This window comes from Homo sapiens, chromosome 10 (assembly GCF_000001405.40).
Source record: "Homo sapiens chromosome 10, GRCh38.p14 Primary Assembly".
NCBI lineage: Eukaryota > Metazoa > Chordata > Mammalia > Primates > Hominidae > Homo > Homo sapiens.
This window is the reverse complement of record NC_000010.11, coordinates 19,529,004-19,544,580: the sequence shown is the minus strand read 5'-3', so window position 1 is coordinate 19,544,580 and position 15,577 is coordinate 19,529,004. Positions and strand designations below refer to the sequence as shown.

General features: G+C 35.8%; 1 protein-coding gene across 10 annotated transcripts in view; it reads right to left on the bottom strand.

Moving 5' to 3' along the window:
• The window catches only part of MALRD1 (MAM and LDL receptor class A domain containing 1), a 687,552-nt gene that overhangs the window by 189,898 nt on the left and 482,077 nt on the right, over positions 1-15,577 (bottom strand). For 9 of the 10 annotated variants that reach the window (XM_011519453.3, XM_011519455.3, XM_011519454.2 and 6 more), the window contains one exon: positions 13,230-13,387. In XM_011519453.3, coding sequence (XP_011517755.1) covers positions 13,230-13,387 — 158 coding nt within the window. The remainder of the gene's footprint in view (positions 1-13,229; positions 13,388-15,577) is intronic. The other variant, XM_047425167.1, reaches the window with a different exon arrangement.

Below are 15,577 nucleotides of genomic sequence, written 5' to 3'. Positions count from 1 at the left end.
GAAAAAAAAAAAGGCACAGCAATTAAAACTTATAAACACTGGGAATAAGCAAGAACAACAGAAATCTAGCCAACCCATCTAAAGACTCAAGTAGGCCTGGTGTGGTGACTCACGTCTGCAATCCCAACACTTTGGGAGGCCTAGGTGGGCGAATCACTTGAGGTCAGGAGTTCGAGACCAGCCTGGCCAACACGGTGAAATCCATTCTCTACTAAAAATACAAAAATTAGTCAGGTATGGTGGCAGGCACCTGTATTCCCAGCTAATTGGGAGGCTGAGGCAGGAGAATCGCCTGAGCCCAGGAGGCAGAAGTTGCAGTGCCAAGATCACACCATCGCATTTCGGCCTGGGTGACAAGAGCGAGACTGCATCTAAAAAAAAAAACCAAAAACACCCAAAACAAAGCAAAAAAGACTCAAGTAGAGGGGAAAAATAAAAAATACCAGTAGAAAACACACAACCAAAAGATCTATATGACAATGAAACTGTAACCACAACACATATAAAAAGACTGGATTTATTTAAAAAACTAGAAGCTCAGATTGTGTGAAAAAAAACACAATTCAGCCATATAGTGTTTATAATAGGCATAACTAAAGCCAAGTAGCATGGAATAATAAAAATAAAGATAAGATATATATTGATTTAACAAGAAGAAGGTGAGGAGAAATTAACGTTAAGTAGAGAGTTTATTTGGGCCAGGCTTGAGGATGGAAACCCAGGAGCATAGACTCCAGTTGCCCTGAATATACACTTCATTTAGCAGCATTTACAAGTTGATTTGTAAAGGCAAAAACAGGGATAGGGAGTAAGTTGATACAAAGTTGTTTGCCAAGAATTCTCCATTGGTTTGCAGAAATAACGTGGATTAGTGATTGGCTATGCATTGTTAAGCTACAGAGTTTGGGTTACAGTGTCTGGTGTGGCATTATTAGGTTAATTTATAGATGGTTGGGACAATCACAAGCAGTTTGAAGAGATAACTACATAACTCAAAAAGCGGAGTAAGCCTAGTATGGTGGCTCAGACCTGTAATCTCAGCACTTTGGGATTCTGAGGCAGGAGGACAGCATGAGTCCAGCAGTTGGAGACCAGCCTAGGAAACACAGTGAGACCCCATTTCTCTCTCAAAAAAAAAAAAAAAAAAGAAATCAGCTGGGCATGATTTTTACATCTGTAGTCCCAGCTACTTGAGAGGCTGAGGCCAGAGAATTGCTTGAGCCTGGGAAGCCAAGGCTGCAGTGAGCTGTGATTGCACCACTATACTCCAGCCTGACTGACAGTACAAGGCCCTGTCTCAAAAAAAGATAAATAAAACAAAAACGAAAAATCAGCTGGGCATGATTTTTACATCTGTAGTCCCAGCTACTTGAGAGGCTGAGGCCAGAGAATTGCTTGAGCCTGGGAAGGCAAGGCTGCAGTGAGCTGTGAAAAATCCAGGGGAGTAGGGTGTGATTGCTGTCTCAGTTTAATGTCTCCCTGGATGTAATAATTAATAGTACTCTTGCAGGGCTCAGATAAAAGTTCCTTTATTTTCTTATATGAATCCAACAAAAAATGAAGACAGTAGAACATCCATATTATTAACAAATAATACAGGATTTCCATGGAAACTACAAAGAGGGCTATTTACTGTTGATAAAAGTTGTAATTCCCCAAACAGACATAACTGTCTTGAATCTTTAGGCATTCAACAACATAACTTCAACACATAAAAATCTAAGACAGGTAAAACAAAAAGACAAATAGACACTTTTATAATTGTACTGGAGGCTTTTAAAATACCTTTTTCCTACATGGACAAATTAAGCCAAAAACAATAAGGATAGAGAAGATTATGGTTTCTCTCTGTATTTCTAACATCTATTTATCTACCTATCTTTGTATCCAACTGAGAAGCTATCATTCTTTCACACATTTCAAGAAAATTTACATCTATATATATAAATTTAACATGTGATAGTGGAGGCATGTCCAATCCACAGGAGAGGACAAAGAATTATATCAATGATATTGGAACTACTATACTGCAATTTGGAAAAAAAACATCAGGAGATTCTAACCTCTCACGACTCATAAACAAAAATGAATTATAACTAGATTAAGTAGTTAAAACTAGAAATCAGGATTATATAATTATTAAAACTATAAATTATATAATTATTAAAACAAATGAAAATATTTTGTTATTTTATGACAGAAAATGGCTTTCTAAATGAGGCATTAAACCCAGACTCTGTAAGGAAAATAAAGATGGGTGGCTTTCATGAAATAAAAATGTAAAAGAAAAGTTACTTGAGCTTCAAGTATATTAAATGGTTTTTATAAAGAAATAATATTCAGCTTCAGACCGAGACTTCCAAGTGAAGCTGATTTAGGTTCTTTCTCAAGGTGACTTTGCACCTAGTCTGTTTGTAGTCAGGTGTAAGAAAGACCTTCTTTTGCAAATTCCCATGCCTCTGTCTTAAAACTGTGACTTGATTTTAATTTTTAGTTGCATAACTCTTCAAGTTGAGTTTACTTTTATTTTTCTACTTTTATTATATTGTGAAAAGAAAGTCTATTTTGAAGGTCATATTAGATTAGCTCTTTCTCTTGAGTGTCGACCTTTTCATTTTGTGCAAAGGACCTTCCCATCCTGCCTAATTTATATTTTAATAGCAAACTTAATACCAGTGTTTTTTGCCATCCTATGGTTTATATTTTCTATTATTCACAATGGAAGATACATAGCACATTTTAGCAAGGTTTACTCTGGCGCAGCTCTCAAAGTGTCTCATTGCTATCAAGACCTATTCACCCATCTTTGCTAAAGTGTTAATATGAGCCAGTGATTCTTATTATGTGATAGATTATGTTTGTATGCTTGACACACTCCTAAGTGTACCTTGTCGCAGGATCCTAAGTGTCTCTGGCACACCAGACCAAACCTTGCCTTTTTCTGTTATTCAGTAAAACATATTAGATTAAAATATAAGACATTGATACCATAGAAGGAGAAACTTGAATCTATTCTTACAAAGAGAAAAAAAATACTTTGCTTCATTTTAACTACTGCTATAACACATTACTCGTGTCATATTGTACAAATGATTTCAATGTGCCAGGATGAGTGACACATTAAGAGCTATTGCCCTAGAATATTACTTTTCATGTTTCTGCTGAAAATAGTAAGACATGCTCAGATTTAAGGTATAATCTAGGTTTTATAAATTTGTTAAATATGCTTAAAAACTTCTACACACATCTCCCTACGTTTTATGCATGGGGATAATTGCATATGTCTCTTAAATACTATCTAATATTTTTCTCCAAAGCTACCATTGATAAGCAGTTTAACACCACTTGTAAAAACAATGGCCATGAAGTTCAGCATAAACAGAAATGAAAGAGAACCGGTTAGTCTAGAAAATTAGTTAAAATATACTTTGAAAATGAATAAATTTAGAGACAGAATACTGATAGTGCCACTCAATAACTTTCATAATAAGATTGCATTTTTACAATGTCAATAATAAAAGAAATACAATAAAAAGGCCTGATGTTTCTATTGCCTTAAGCATATGTTATACAAACTAGTACCCACTTAATTAGTTTCATTTTTTTACCCTGAATATATTTTTATTTTTAAAGACACAAGGTCTTGCCATGTTGCCCAGGCTGGTCTCAAATTCCTGGCATCAAGCAATCCTCCTGCTTTGGCCTCCCAAAGTGCTGGGATTACAGCCGTGAGCCACTGTGCTTGGACTTCCATTTTTAATTTCTGAAAATATATATATTTTTGTAAATTTAAGTGAATATTCAACTTTGCATATTTTTTGCTATTGAAACGTCAAGGTTTTTTTTCCACTTCTCTTTTCACTCAACATATGCCTGGAGAAATTTCTGCAACACAAGTGATAACTATGAGATGGGCTGGGTCCTCGTCTATATAGTAACATCTCATGAGAATAACCAGAGCCTTTTTAGCAGCTCATTAACAAGGGTTATCATTTTCTAAATGATTACTTCACGGCAATAAATGATAACCTAGTACCTGATTAAGTGAATATAAGTATCAACGCATTTCCTCTATTATTAGAAACTCTTTATGCACCATATTTCATTGGTTCCTTATTCATATTGCTGTGTTATCTTATTATGGGTTGTGAGAATCATTGTTGAGTGATGTATCAAAAGCCTTACTACCTCAAAATACCTCCCACTGTGGGTGCCACGTGTCTTTGCAACCACATCCCAGAGGGCCCACAGTCATTCTGCATTTAAGAGAGGCTGAGTTGGGGTAAGACTCTTTTTCTTCCCTGCCAAACTTCCTATTCTGACGATTATATGTCTGCTATCATCACAGGGAATAGAATATCCTCTTGCACTAGCCTAAAGAAGGGGTTCCGGAAACATCTGCCTATTCTAACAGGACAACTGTAGATCTAATGACAGATTCTAGGTGATTACAAAATCGACCAGAAGGGCCCTCAGTGAGTTTGACAAAGAAGATACAGTCTTGGTGGCCCTCGTCCTTGAGCAGCTCATTCAAAAGTTAATCATCTTAAGCAGCAGAACACACTGGGCATGTGGCATGGGAGGCCGAGGTGGGCAGATCACTTGAGCTCAGGAGTTCAAGACCAGCCTGGGCAACATGGCAAAACCCCATCACTGCGCGTGTGTGCGCGCACGCGCGCGCGCACACACACACACACACACACACACACACACACACACACACGCACAAAGCTGGGTGTGGTGGCGCATGCTGGTAGTCCCAGCTATTAGGGAGGCTGACGTGGGAGGATAACTTGAGCACAGGAGGTTGAGACTGCAGTGAGTGGAGACTGCACCACTGCACTCCAGCCTGGGTGACAGAGTGAGACCCTGTCTCAAAAATACAAAAAAATAAAAAAACAAAGCAGCAGAACAAAAGGATTGCGTGGCATGTCTCACAGGCAACTATTGGTAAGACAAATACTTATAGCATCCCCCATATCGGCTCACACACACTAAGCATTTGGGGACACATCTAACTATTTAAGTAACCATGATGCCATTTTGTAAAATTTAAAATTCAAACCAAATGTATACTGAAAAATATAATATGCAGAACACAAAATATGCAAAATACCTTTTAAAGAATTAGATTTTATCAACTACTGGTAGAAAATATAAGACAATATTGAGTAATGAAAATGCAAACCCTCAATACGTCATAAATAGCCCTCTAGTTCTGAAAGGCAGAAAAGCATAGTAGTTATAAGGATAGAGTAGAGATAGGCCATGTGGAAAAACCTGCCCAGCTCTATGACCTTGGACAAATTCCTGAAGCTTTGTCTATCTCATTTGCCTTACCTGTTAAAATGTAGATAACGTCAGTACTTGCCTCATTTGGAGGGTGTGAGAATCAGACTAATTAATTTATGATAAAGGACTCTGAATGGTGTATGGCATATCGTAACCATCTGATCTTATTAAGTCTGACTCTGATATTATTCTCCATTTTTTTCTCTGCTTTTACTATCTTCCTAAATATTACATTGAAACAAAACAAAACAAAACTCAATAGCACCAGCTCATAACAATAATGGTTTTCTGAACTGGAGCATATACATGCTAAATGTCTTATCCTATGGGTTTTACTGAAACTCATTTAGGCCTAAGAATGCCTCAAATCTAAGATAGAGACCATTTCAACACCATAGGCTACTTGTTCTGAAATACGAACTATCGGTTTCCGGAATCCCATATATATATAAACTTATCTGTGATCACGGAAGTTTTAGAAAGTAGCTTTTTTTTTTCATGAGCAATTAGAAATTTATATAAATTACAAAAATATTACGAAAAGTATAAATTGTGAGTTACCTATTCATTTTCCTTTTATTTCTTTAAGTTTGGAGTAATAAAATATGTTAGTTATTTTTAGAGAAATCATCTTGTTCAGTGCCAAGTTAACTGCTATTTGTAGACCAAATCAATTGAGATAGCATTAAACATCAAAACAAGACAGAAGCTAGGAAGCTGAATAGCTGTAATTAAATAATATAATGGGAAATTAATTTGGTTTCATTTAGGGCTCTTTTGGCAGTATGGATCAAAAAGTGACCACCATCATTTTAAAGAGTGCATTAATTTGACATGTAAGTAGGTAACTGAAAGACAGAAAGAAACTGATCTTTGTAAGTTCTTCTGGTTTGGCATTACTAGAAAATAAAGCATTTATTAAGTAAGTACAAATTAGCATTGTTCTCTAATTCCTTCAGCCTTTAATTGAAGGATATTGATGCCCATGTGAACATTTTATTATTCTGATTATCAGTCATTTATGATGAAAAGATATTGAAGTCTTCCTAATTTCTATAAAATATTTTCTTTATGCAGCCCTCTACTTTGAAGGCTGAGATAAATCAGCATAGTTTGGCTTTTTATCCTAAAACATAATAGGAAAATCATAATTGAATTTCACTTTGATCTCACGACTATACTAGTTGTTGACTGCTTTCACTTTATATGATACACTTCATTAATATGCTAATAAAATTTAGATATGCTTTATTTAGAAAATTATCTTAAATGTCAGTGAAGATCTAAGTCCTGTGCATTATTTACAGACATTGGTTTTCAGTTTATCTTTATATTCCATTTTAAATCAAGCCACATCTTTGTTGCCCTGGACTTCTGAAATCATCTTCACTTTTCTCCCTGTGCAATGGACTGAATATTACTCCCCAAGATTCACATGTTGAAATCCTAACCCCGAAGGTGATGGTATTAGAAGGTAGGGCCTACAGGAGGGACAAGATCATGAAGGGGGAGACCTCATGAATGGGATTAGTGCCCTTATAAAGAGACTGAAGTCAAGTAAGAGAAATGACAGAAAACAAACAACACAGGTAGCTATGAAACTTTCCATCTGTGATATAGTTCTTTGGAAAAATAAAATAAGTTTCCCATGATAAGTAATTACTCATCTTCTGCTGAGAGAGGTATTTTATATCAAATGATAAGGAAGGCCCTCTGAGAAAGATGATGTTTGAATACAAGAAGCCAGCCTTGTGAATATCTGGAGAAAGAGGAGGGAGAAGAAAAAGGAGAGAGAGAAGAGCGCTCTCCTGCCTTTTCCATCATGTGAAGTCACAAAAAAGGTCTGGTAAGACACCAAACTTGCCAGCCCCTTGATCTTGGACTTCGCAGCCTCCAGAACTATAAGAAATAAATTTATGTTGTTTATAAGTCATGCAGTCAATGGTATTTGGTAATAGCAACCTGAAAGAACTAAGATATCAAGTTTCATTTTCACTTTGGCCTCCTCCTACCCACCAGATTCCAGCCCTTTTCCATATAGCAGCCAAACAGCCCTTTTACATATTTTTAATTACTCTTCATGTTAATACTCTCCGATAGCTTCCCATGGTTTTTAGAATAAAACTGAGTCTCCTTATCATGTACAAGGTCATAAATGACCTGATCTCTTCCTCCATCTTCAATCTTATTTATCCTCTTGTCTATGTTGTTCCAGCTATGCCAGCCCTCGAAATTTCTACATGGGAGGTTTTTCATTAACTTGCAACCTCTGCTTAGAGCAGTTTTTCTCCAGATAGTCGCAAGGCTGGCTCCTTCTTGCTCTTCAACTCTAAATCCAAATACCATCTTTCTGAGAGGGGCTTTCTTACCATTAATATCAAATGCCTCTCTCAGCAGGTGATGAGTAATTATCACAGGAAACTTTCTTATTTGCTCCAGTGCTGTATGACAAATGGAAGGTCTCATAGTTATCTGTTTTGTTTGTTTACCTGTTTTCTGTTATCACTACTAGAACCTTATTCAGAAATAAGTTAATGTAATGTAATTAATGTAATTAATGTTCAGGACAAATTGAAGCTGACTGTCACTCAATTTTTTTTTTATTATTTTGTAAGGTCATAGCACCAAAAGATTTCTGTTTTCTTTACAGTGCACACTTATATCAGACAAATTCAAGTTTAGAGTAGCTAAACTAACATATTTCAAATAAAGGAAGTTTAATATAGAGAGATAGGGGACTGATTACAAGGGCTACGAAAGAGATGAGAAATCAGCAAGGAAATTATGACGCAACCTACCATATGTAGAATGTTTCCATCCCTAAAACGAGAGGGACGAAGGAAGAATGTCACCAAAGTCAAGCTGCTGGAAGAATGAAACAAACCTGCACGTTGTGCACATGTACCCTAAAACTTAAAGTATAATTAAAAAAAAAAAAGAAAAGAAAAAAAATTTTTCTGGCATGTTCTATGGGAGCTGGAACTAAGGAAGCATGGCCTAATTGCGGGAAGCTGAGTCACAGATAAGGTACAGTTAGAGACTCAATCCAAAATAGGAAGATAGAGGAGGAAGGCTTGTCTTCTCTTCCTGTCCTCACGTCTTTTGTGGGTACCTTCCATTGACCAAACCTACCTAGGAAGGTAGAAAGTAAAGCAGCTAGGGAAGTGTAGTTCTCTGGAATACAGAGCAGATCCTGGAAGGGCAGGGAATGCATAACCTTTAGTGAGATTTCAGAAAATTTACGCTGACAAGGAGACATACTCCCACAGTCTACAATTTGGAATCTCTTTTGAGAATGCATTCCTATTTTTATTGCCTCATAAACCCTTGCCTCTGAAAATTCATCTTAGGTATTTTCTTTGCCACATCCCCTCTGAAGGGTTTCTATAATCAACTTAAGAAATACTTTCAGACAATTGTAATCTACCATGTACTCTGGAGCCACATTTGCTATTATTAACTCAAGAGGTCATGTGTTTATGGCACATTCTGGGGCAGTGTCTCTCAACCCTTCCAAATATGAGGACCCTTTAGAAATACGTAATTTTTATTAGAAAGCTAATACAAGTTTCATGTAGAAAAATTATAAAATACGTAAGACTGCAAAATATTAAAATAAACTTTTTCATCTCAAAAAGTACAAATAATTATTTTAACCATTGTAGTGTATATTTCTCCATTTCTTTCTTTTCCCTGTCATATATATATATACGTATATACATATATGTACATATGTGTATATATATGTATATGTATATACATATACACATGTATATATGTGTATATATATGTGTATATGTATATGCATATACACATATATACATATATTTATGAGGGAAATATCTATAGCCATATACACATTTTCACACAAAATCTGATTTTTTTAAAAAATTGCATACTAGTACACATATTCCTTAACAATCTGCTTAGGTCATTAAAGAATCATAAACATTTCTTTTTATCACTAATTATTCATTCACAGAATTAATTGTTCTACAGTGTTTCCGTATGACCGAATGTACTATATTTGAGTAATTCCTACTATTTGATGCTCACGTGGTTTCCAATATTTACTAGGGTAAACATTGAGATAAAAAAAAACTTTGGTCGGGCGCAGTGGCTCACGCCTGTAATCCCAGCACTTTGGGAGGCCTAGGTGGGCGAATCACTAGGTCAGGAGATTAAGACCAGCCTGGCCAACATGGTGAAACGCCATCTCTACTAAAAATACGAAAGTTAGCTGGGTGTGGTGGCACCTGCCTGTAATCCCAGCTACTCCGGAAGCTGAGGCAGGAGAATCGCTTGAACCAGGGAGGCGGAGGTTGCAGCGAGCCAAGATCGCGCCACTGCACTCCAGTCTGGCAACAGAGCGAGACTTCATCTCAAAAAACAAAAACAACAACAACAACAACAACAAAAACTTTATAAATAAAATAGCATATATATATCTATCTTTATTTCATTACAATAAATTTCTAGATATAAAATATTTTAGTAAGTAATATAAAAATTATAAATTTTTTAATTGTCAAAATATTCTTCATAATTGCAAACTGATAGTCCAGCTAGCAATGAATATCTGTTTCTTTACATCCACACCAACAGCAGATATGATCATTTATTTTATTCTTTTAAGATTTGTTTTATGGTGTCAACATTATTAGAGAAGGGGGAAAAAGGACTTGTTTTTTACTTAGAAAAAGAAGTTTTTTTCCCACCACAAGTTCAGATTATATTAATTGGACTTTTGGCATCAATTATTTGTAAAAAATAGAGCCACAAACATGGGTCCACATCTCCTTTATAAGGAGTGGTCCTGCAGTACTGTAATACCGAAATTAGAGATTGTAAAAAAGCACAAACTTGCAGGTGAAAGAAAAGCATGCTAATGGAAAGCCTCAATCCGAAGAACACGGAGAATGGGTTTCCACTTCACTGGTTCCTCCACATGTAAAATTACTGCATGCTTAGGAAGGTTTTCATCTGTGAATAACTCAAGATTTTCCACAGCAATAGTTGAGAAAATAAGATTTGCCCCAGCTGCTATGATCCATCAGTGATGTAAGGCCACATTATGAAAATAGTTTTTGCTGAGTTTCTGTAATGGCGAGGGCTTTTTCAGTAGCAAGTAACAAAAGGAGAATTCTACTGGTGCAGAAAAACTGGGATTGAGGGTTTAAACAGAGCAGGTACCTTTCTGTTTCTTCCCCTTTCTTTAGCTCTGTGTCCCCATGTGTTAGCTTCTTTGTCAAACAATCTCTCTCCCTTTGTGGGGAAAGATGGCTACCAACAGCCCCAAGCCTAGTCTATGTTCCTACAACTTGTAATCCAAAAGAAAAAGAAATACCTCTCTTCCTCTGCATTAAATGCTTAGAGGACCCTATGATTGGCCCTACTGAGGTCACCCACGGACGTGGTAAAAGCAAGTCACTGTGGCAGTCAACTCCGCTGATACAGTTTGGATATTTGACCCCGTCCAAATCTCATGTTGAATTGTAATCCCCAATGCTGGAGGTTGGGACTGGTGGGAGCTGTTGGGTCATGGGGGCAGATCTGTCATGGCTGGATGCTGTCTTCATGATAATGAGTGAGTTCTCATGATATCTGGTCATTTAAAAGTGTTAGCACCTCCCTCTTTTGCCTCTGCTTTCACCCTGTGACAGCTCCCACTTTGCATTCCGCCATACTTGAATGCTTCTTGAACCCTCATCAGAAGCTGAGCAGATGCCCAGTGCCATGCTTCCTGTACAGCCTGTAGAACTATGAGCCAATTAAACCCATTTCCTTTATAAATTACCAGTCTCAGGTATTTCTTTACAGCAACACAAGAATGATCTAATACACCCACCAAGACTGTTGCTACAGAAAAATCAATATCATGCTGATTATCAATTTCCTGCCACCATTCTTTCTAGTAGACCTCTCTGAAAACTTCCCAGAGTAGAAAAGCATCGTTATACTTAACTGCTGCCTTCTGGTTAGAAAAACCAGTAAGCACCAAAGTCAGGTATCAGAAATCAAGACGTGAGGTCACTATTTCTATTTCAAAGGCTATTTACAGAAACATGGCTAAACACAGAGGGCCACTTAACTGGGTAACTAAGGAACTGAAGGCCCAGCTGGTGAGTAGCTAAAGAACACAGGGGTGGTCTTTTTGAATTGAGGAAGCAACAATTTCTTAGAAAGTGACCGAAATCTGCCTACATTATATGGAAAGGTCTGGTGGCCTTTCCACTGATGCTTGCTTTGATGAGGAACTGTAGACTAGTGTCCTCTTCAATTGCAGGAATCTGTGTTTAATAATGTCAGTAGAAATAAGGTGTTGTGGAGTTTCTTGAAGCTCAGTGGTTATAAATTACACTGGATAAAATTTAGCATAAGCAATAGGCTAATCTATTGAATATTCATCGATTAGATGTAAAAACTATGAAAAATAATTTAAAATTTTTACATGCTTTTGCATTTATTCGTGTGCTCTCAAACTGTTAAAAATGAACCTCTTTCTCTGTTGTTTTACTGGCTTCCTTTGAAAAAACAGACACAGAGTCAGGATAAATTCTCAACTTTCTTTGCATGTTTAGATTTTTACTTAAGAGTTTCAATTTCTGTCGCTGTCTAGAATTGATAAGGCCTTTTTTCGTTCTCTCATTTTCCCATGTTTCTCTTCTGACTTCTTTGGTTGACCACAGAGAATCTGAGAAACAAAACTGTGTAATAGATATCATATTTTTGAGAAGGGGGGCATGGTGGCTCAGGCCTGTAATCCCAGCACCCTGGGAGGCTGAGGTGGGTGGATCATGAGGTCAGGAATTTGAGACCAGCCTGGCCAACATGATGAAACCCCATCTCTACTAAAAGTACAAAAAATTAGCTGGACGTGGTGATGCATGCCTGTGATCCCAGCTACTCAGGATGCTGAGGCAGGAGAATCACTTGAACCTGGGAGGCGGAGGTTCCAGTGAACTGAGATCGCACCACTGCACTTCAGTCGGGGCGACAGAGCAAGACTCTGTCTCTCCCTGCCCCCCACCAAAAAAAAGATATCAGATTTTTGAAATCATAATTTTGACTGTGAAATGTTGAAAAAGTTACTAAGCCTCTTTGAGTCTGTTTCTTTGTTGCAAAATTGGGAAAAAATATACTTACCTCATCAGGTGAAGGTGAGAATTAAAATTGATACCATAGAGTGTTTATAATACATGTAAATATAAGGCAGAACTTAATAAGAGCTGCTATTATTTACAGAGGACCATATTTGATATAAAGACAAAAATCCCAATTGTATTTATTCAAAAAACAGGATTGGATAATTGTAAGTTAATAACACTAGGTGTGGTGTGCTGATATGTAACCATTTAATTAGAAACCAAGATCTTAAAATTGGTTCATGATGATTGAAAAACTCATTGATACAATGAAAAGTATAAGTGCAGCAACTTATTTCATTAAAGGTATCTGCATTTGGTACAGATTATTGCTTTAAACTAGTTAAAAATAGAGCGCGCATGTTGATTTTACTGTGAGCTGATATATACTTAAAGTCTCAAATTTGCTTTTCCTTAACTGAATTTTGGGTAGAAAATTATCTTCCTCACCATTATGCATCACATCACATTTCTTTACTGTCCCTAGCTAAGCTGCTAATAGAAGATACATGTCGAATCTGCCCAAACTCTTTTATCTCCAGATAATCTTTTAAATACCATACAACATAATTGAGTTCAGGTGGCAGCCGTCAGTGAGATAAATCTTGAATGAGATTAAGATGAATGACAGCACAGCTTGCCAAAGTCCCACTGCCCCAGAAAGAAATGAGAAATTAATGGCATCAGCACTGGCGGTGTGACCAACAAAAATACAAATAAGACAAGGGAAGACAATGTTTAAACATGTCATGCATATTTCAGTGATCATAAATCTCTGGCTTCCTTTTGTACCTTTAATATTCCCATACTCCTGGGATCAATCATGTAGAACCAGAACCGAACAGTACACATTCCAAGGCTTGCTGGGAAGGATTTGGAAGTAGTAATTCTGGCAACGGATCCTTCCTTGGAGCCAGATGAGTTGACGTACAGGAAGTGCTGACCACTACCTTGAAATAGATTAACAAAATTTTTTTCAGTGTAATGATAATATCGCATGAGTCGGAATGTGTTTAAACTATTAACAGATATCTTTTTATCCTTATACATACACACAATCAAACAGAACTCATTTTGATTTTGGGAGTCATATATCAATAACATTTCATTCTTCTGAGCCTAAAAAGTGTCACTATGATCATGTGATTCACAAAATTCCCTTGAGCCAGTGACTAATAAAGTAATCAAATATTGGTTTTGAATATGAAGGTGTATTCCTATTCTCCTAATTTGCTTAAACCTGTCAGATTCCAGCAATAAAATACTTTGTATGCTGTGCATACAGCAAATACAGAGTAGGTACTGGGGACTGACTGGTATTGTATCTTATTTTCAGTTGCTCTGATTCCCACACTGGCCAGGGTAGTAGTGAATGGCTATAACTGCAAAGTGAAATGTGATTCTAAGAGTCATTACAATAGCTTTTTCTGGGTAATACACTATTTCTTTTCTTCTCAAATGCATTAGTATGTGAAAGATTTCTGCATTTAAACACAATTGGATTTTTTTCTGTTGCCATTGTCAGAAATTCATCATAGCTATCATTCCCCTTTGTGGGTAGGTAAATATGAAATATATATATGTGTGTGTGTATTTTTTCCTTAAGTTAAATATTTGTAGTCCCATTCAAGACTATTAATATATTTATATTTATTTATATAAATATTATATAATTATTTATTATTATATATTATATATTATATATTATATATATTATATATTTATTATTATATAAATATATAATATTTATATAAATATATAATATTTATATAAATATTTATATAAATATTATATATTTATATAAATATTATATATTTATATAAATTTCAACATTTCAACAATGTCCTTCAAAATATAGATGACAAAAATGAATACACAATTTTTTAGAGCAATTTTAGGTTTAAAGGAAGTTGAGAGGACAGTAAGAGAGTTTCCTGTGTCCTCATACCTCTCCCACAGACCATTTGTGTATTATTAACCTTTTTTGCATTAGTGTGTTACATTAGTTACAATTAATGAGCCAATATTGACACACTCTTATTAATTAAATATTGTTTTGGCTATTCTGAGTCTTTTGCTTTTCCATGCAATCTTTAGAATCGGTTTGTTAATATCTACAAAATAACTTGGGATTGGAATTGCATTGAATTTATACATCATGTTGGGAAGAACTGATGTCTACAAAATATTGTCTTCCTATGCATGTACATAGAACATATTCTATGTTTTGTCTTCTTGGAGTAATGATCTAATTATTACTACATAATGTTATGTAATGTTTCTTTTTATTCCTGTAATCTTCCTTTCTCCAAAGTCATCTTTATCTAAATTTCTACATTCTTTTGATTAATGTTAGCATGGTATATGTTTCTCCATGCCTTTATTTTTAATCTGTGTGTTTATATTAAATGTAGGTTTCTTACTGACAATATATAGTTGGGTCTTGTGTTTGCATCTATTTTGACAAATAGGTGAATTTAGATGATTAGCACTTAATTATTCATATAGTTGGACTAATATTTATAACATTTACCATATTTGTCTTCATTTTGTATTCAATACTCTAATATCCTTAATCTTTGTTTTCTCCCCCCCCCTCCTGTTTTTTTCTGTCTTCTCTGGTTTTTTAATTGAACTTTTCACGATTCTGTTTTTATCCTCTCTTAACATATCAATTTTATATCTTCTGTTTTTACATTCTTTTTCTAGGGACTGACTTTGAATTTGCAATATACATTATAACTACCAAGCCAAATCCTCTGTCAAATATCATCATACCATTTTATAAGCAACTTATGTAACAACATAACTAACCCATTTCATGGGTAGTACAAGTACTGTAAAACAGAGTATTTTCAATTATTCCCTCCCACTTCTTATAATATAATTGGGCATTTCTATTCCCCTAGGTTGGTTAGGTTCTGGTAAAATAGTTTTTCTTGAAGGCAGGCCTTGTTAAGAATAGAATGCTCTAGGAATATTTCAAAATGGCTACTTTCCCCCTTTCCCCTGCTGAAAACTGAGGGGATTTTTCTTTCATCTTTGCTGTGAGAATGTGGGAGGGCTCCTGAAGGGAACATTCACCAAAGTGTGTGGGCTGCCAAGGGCTGGGTCCTCATGACACTGTTATCTCTCAAACT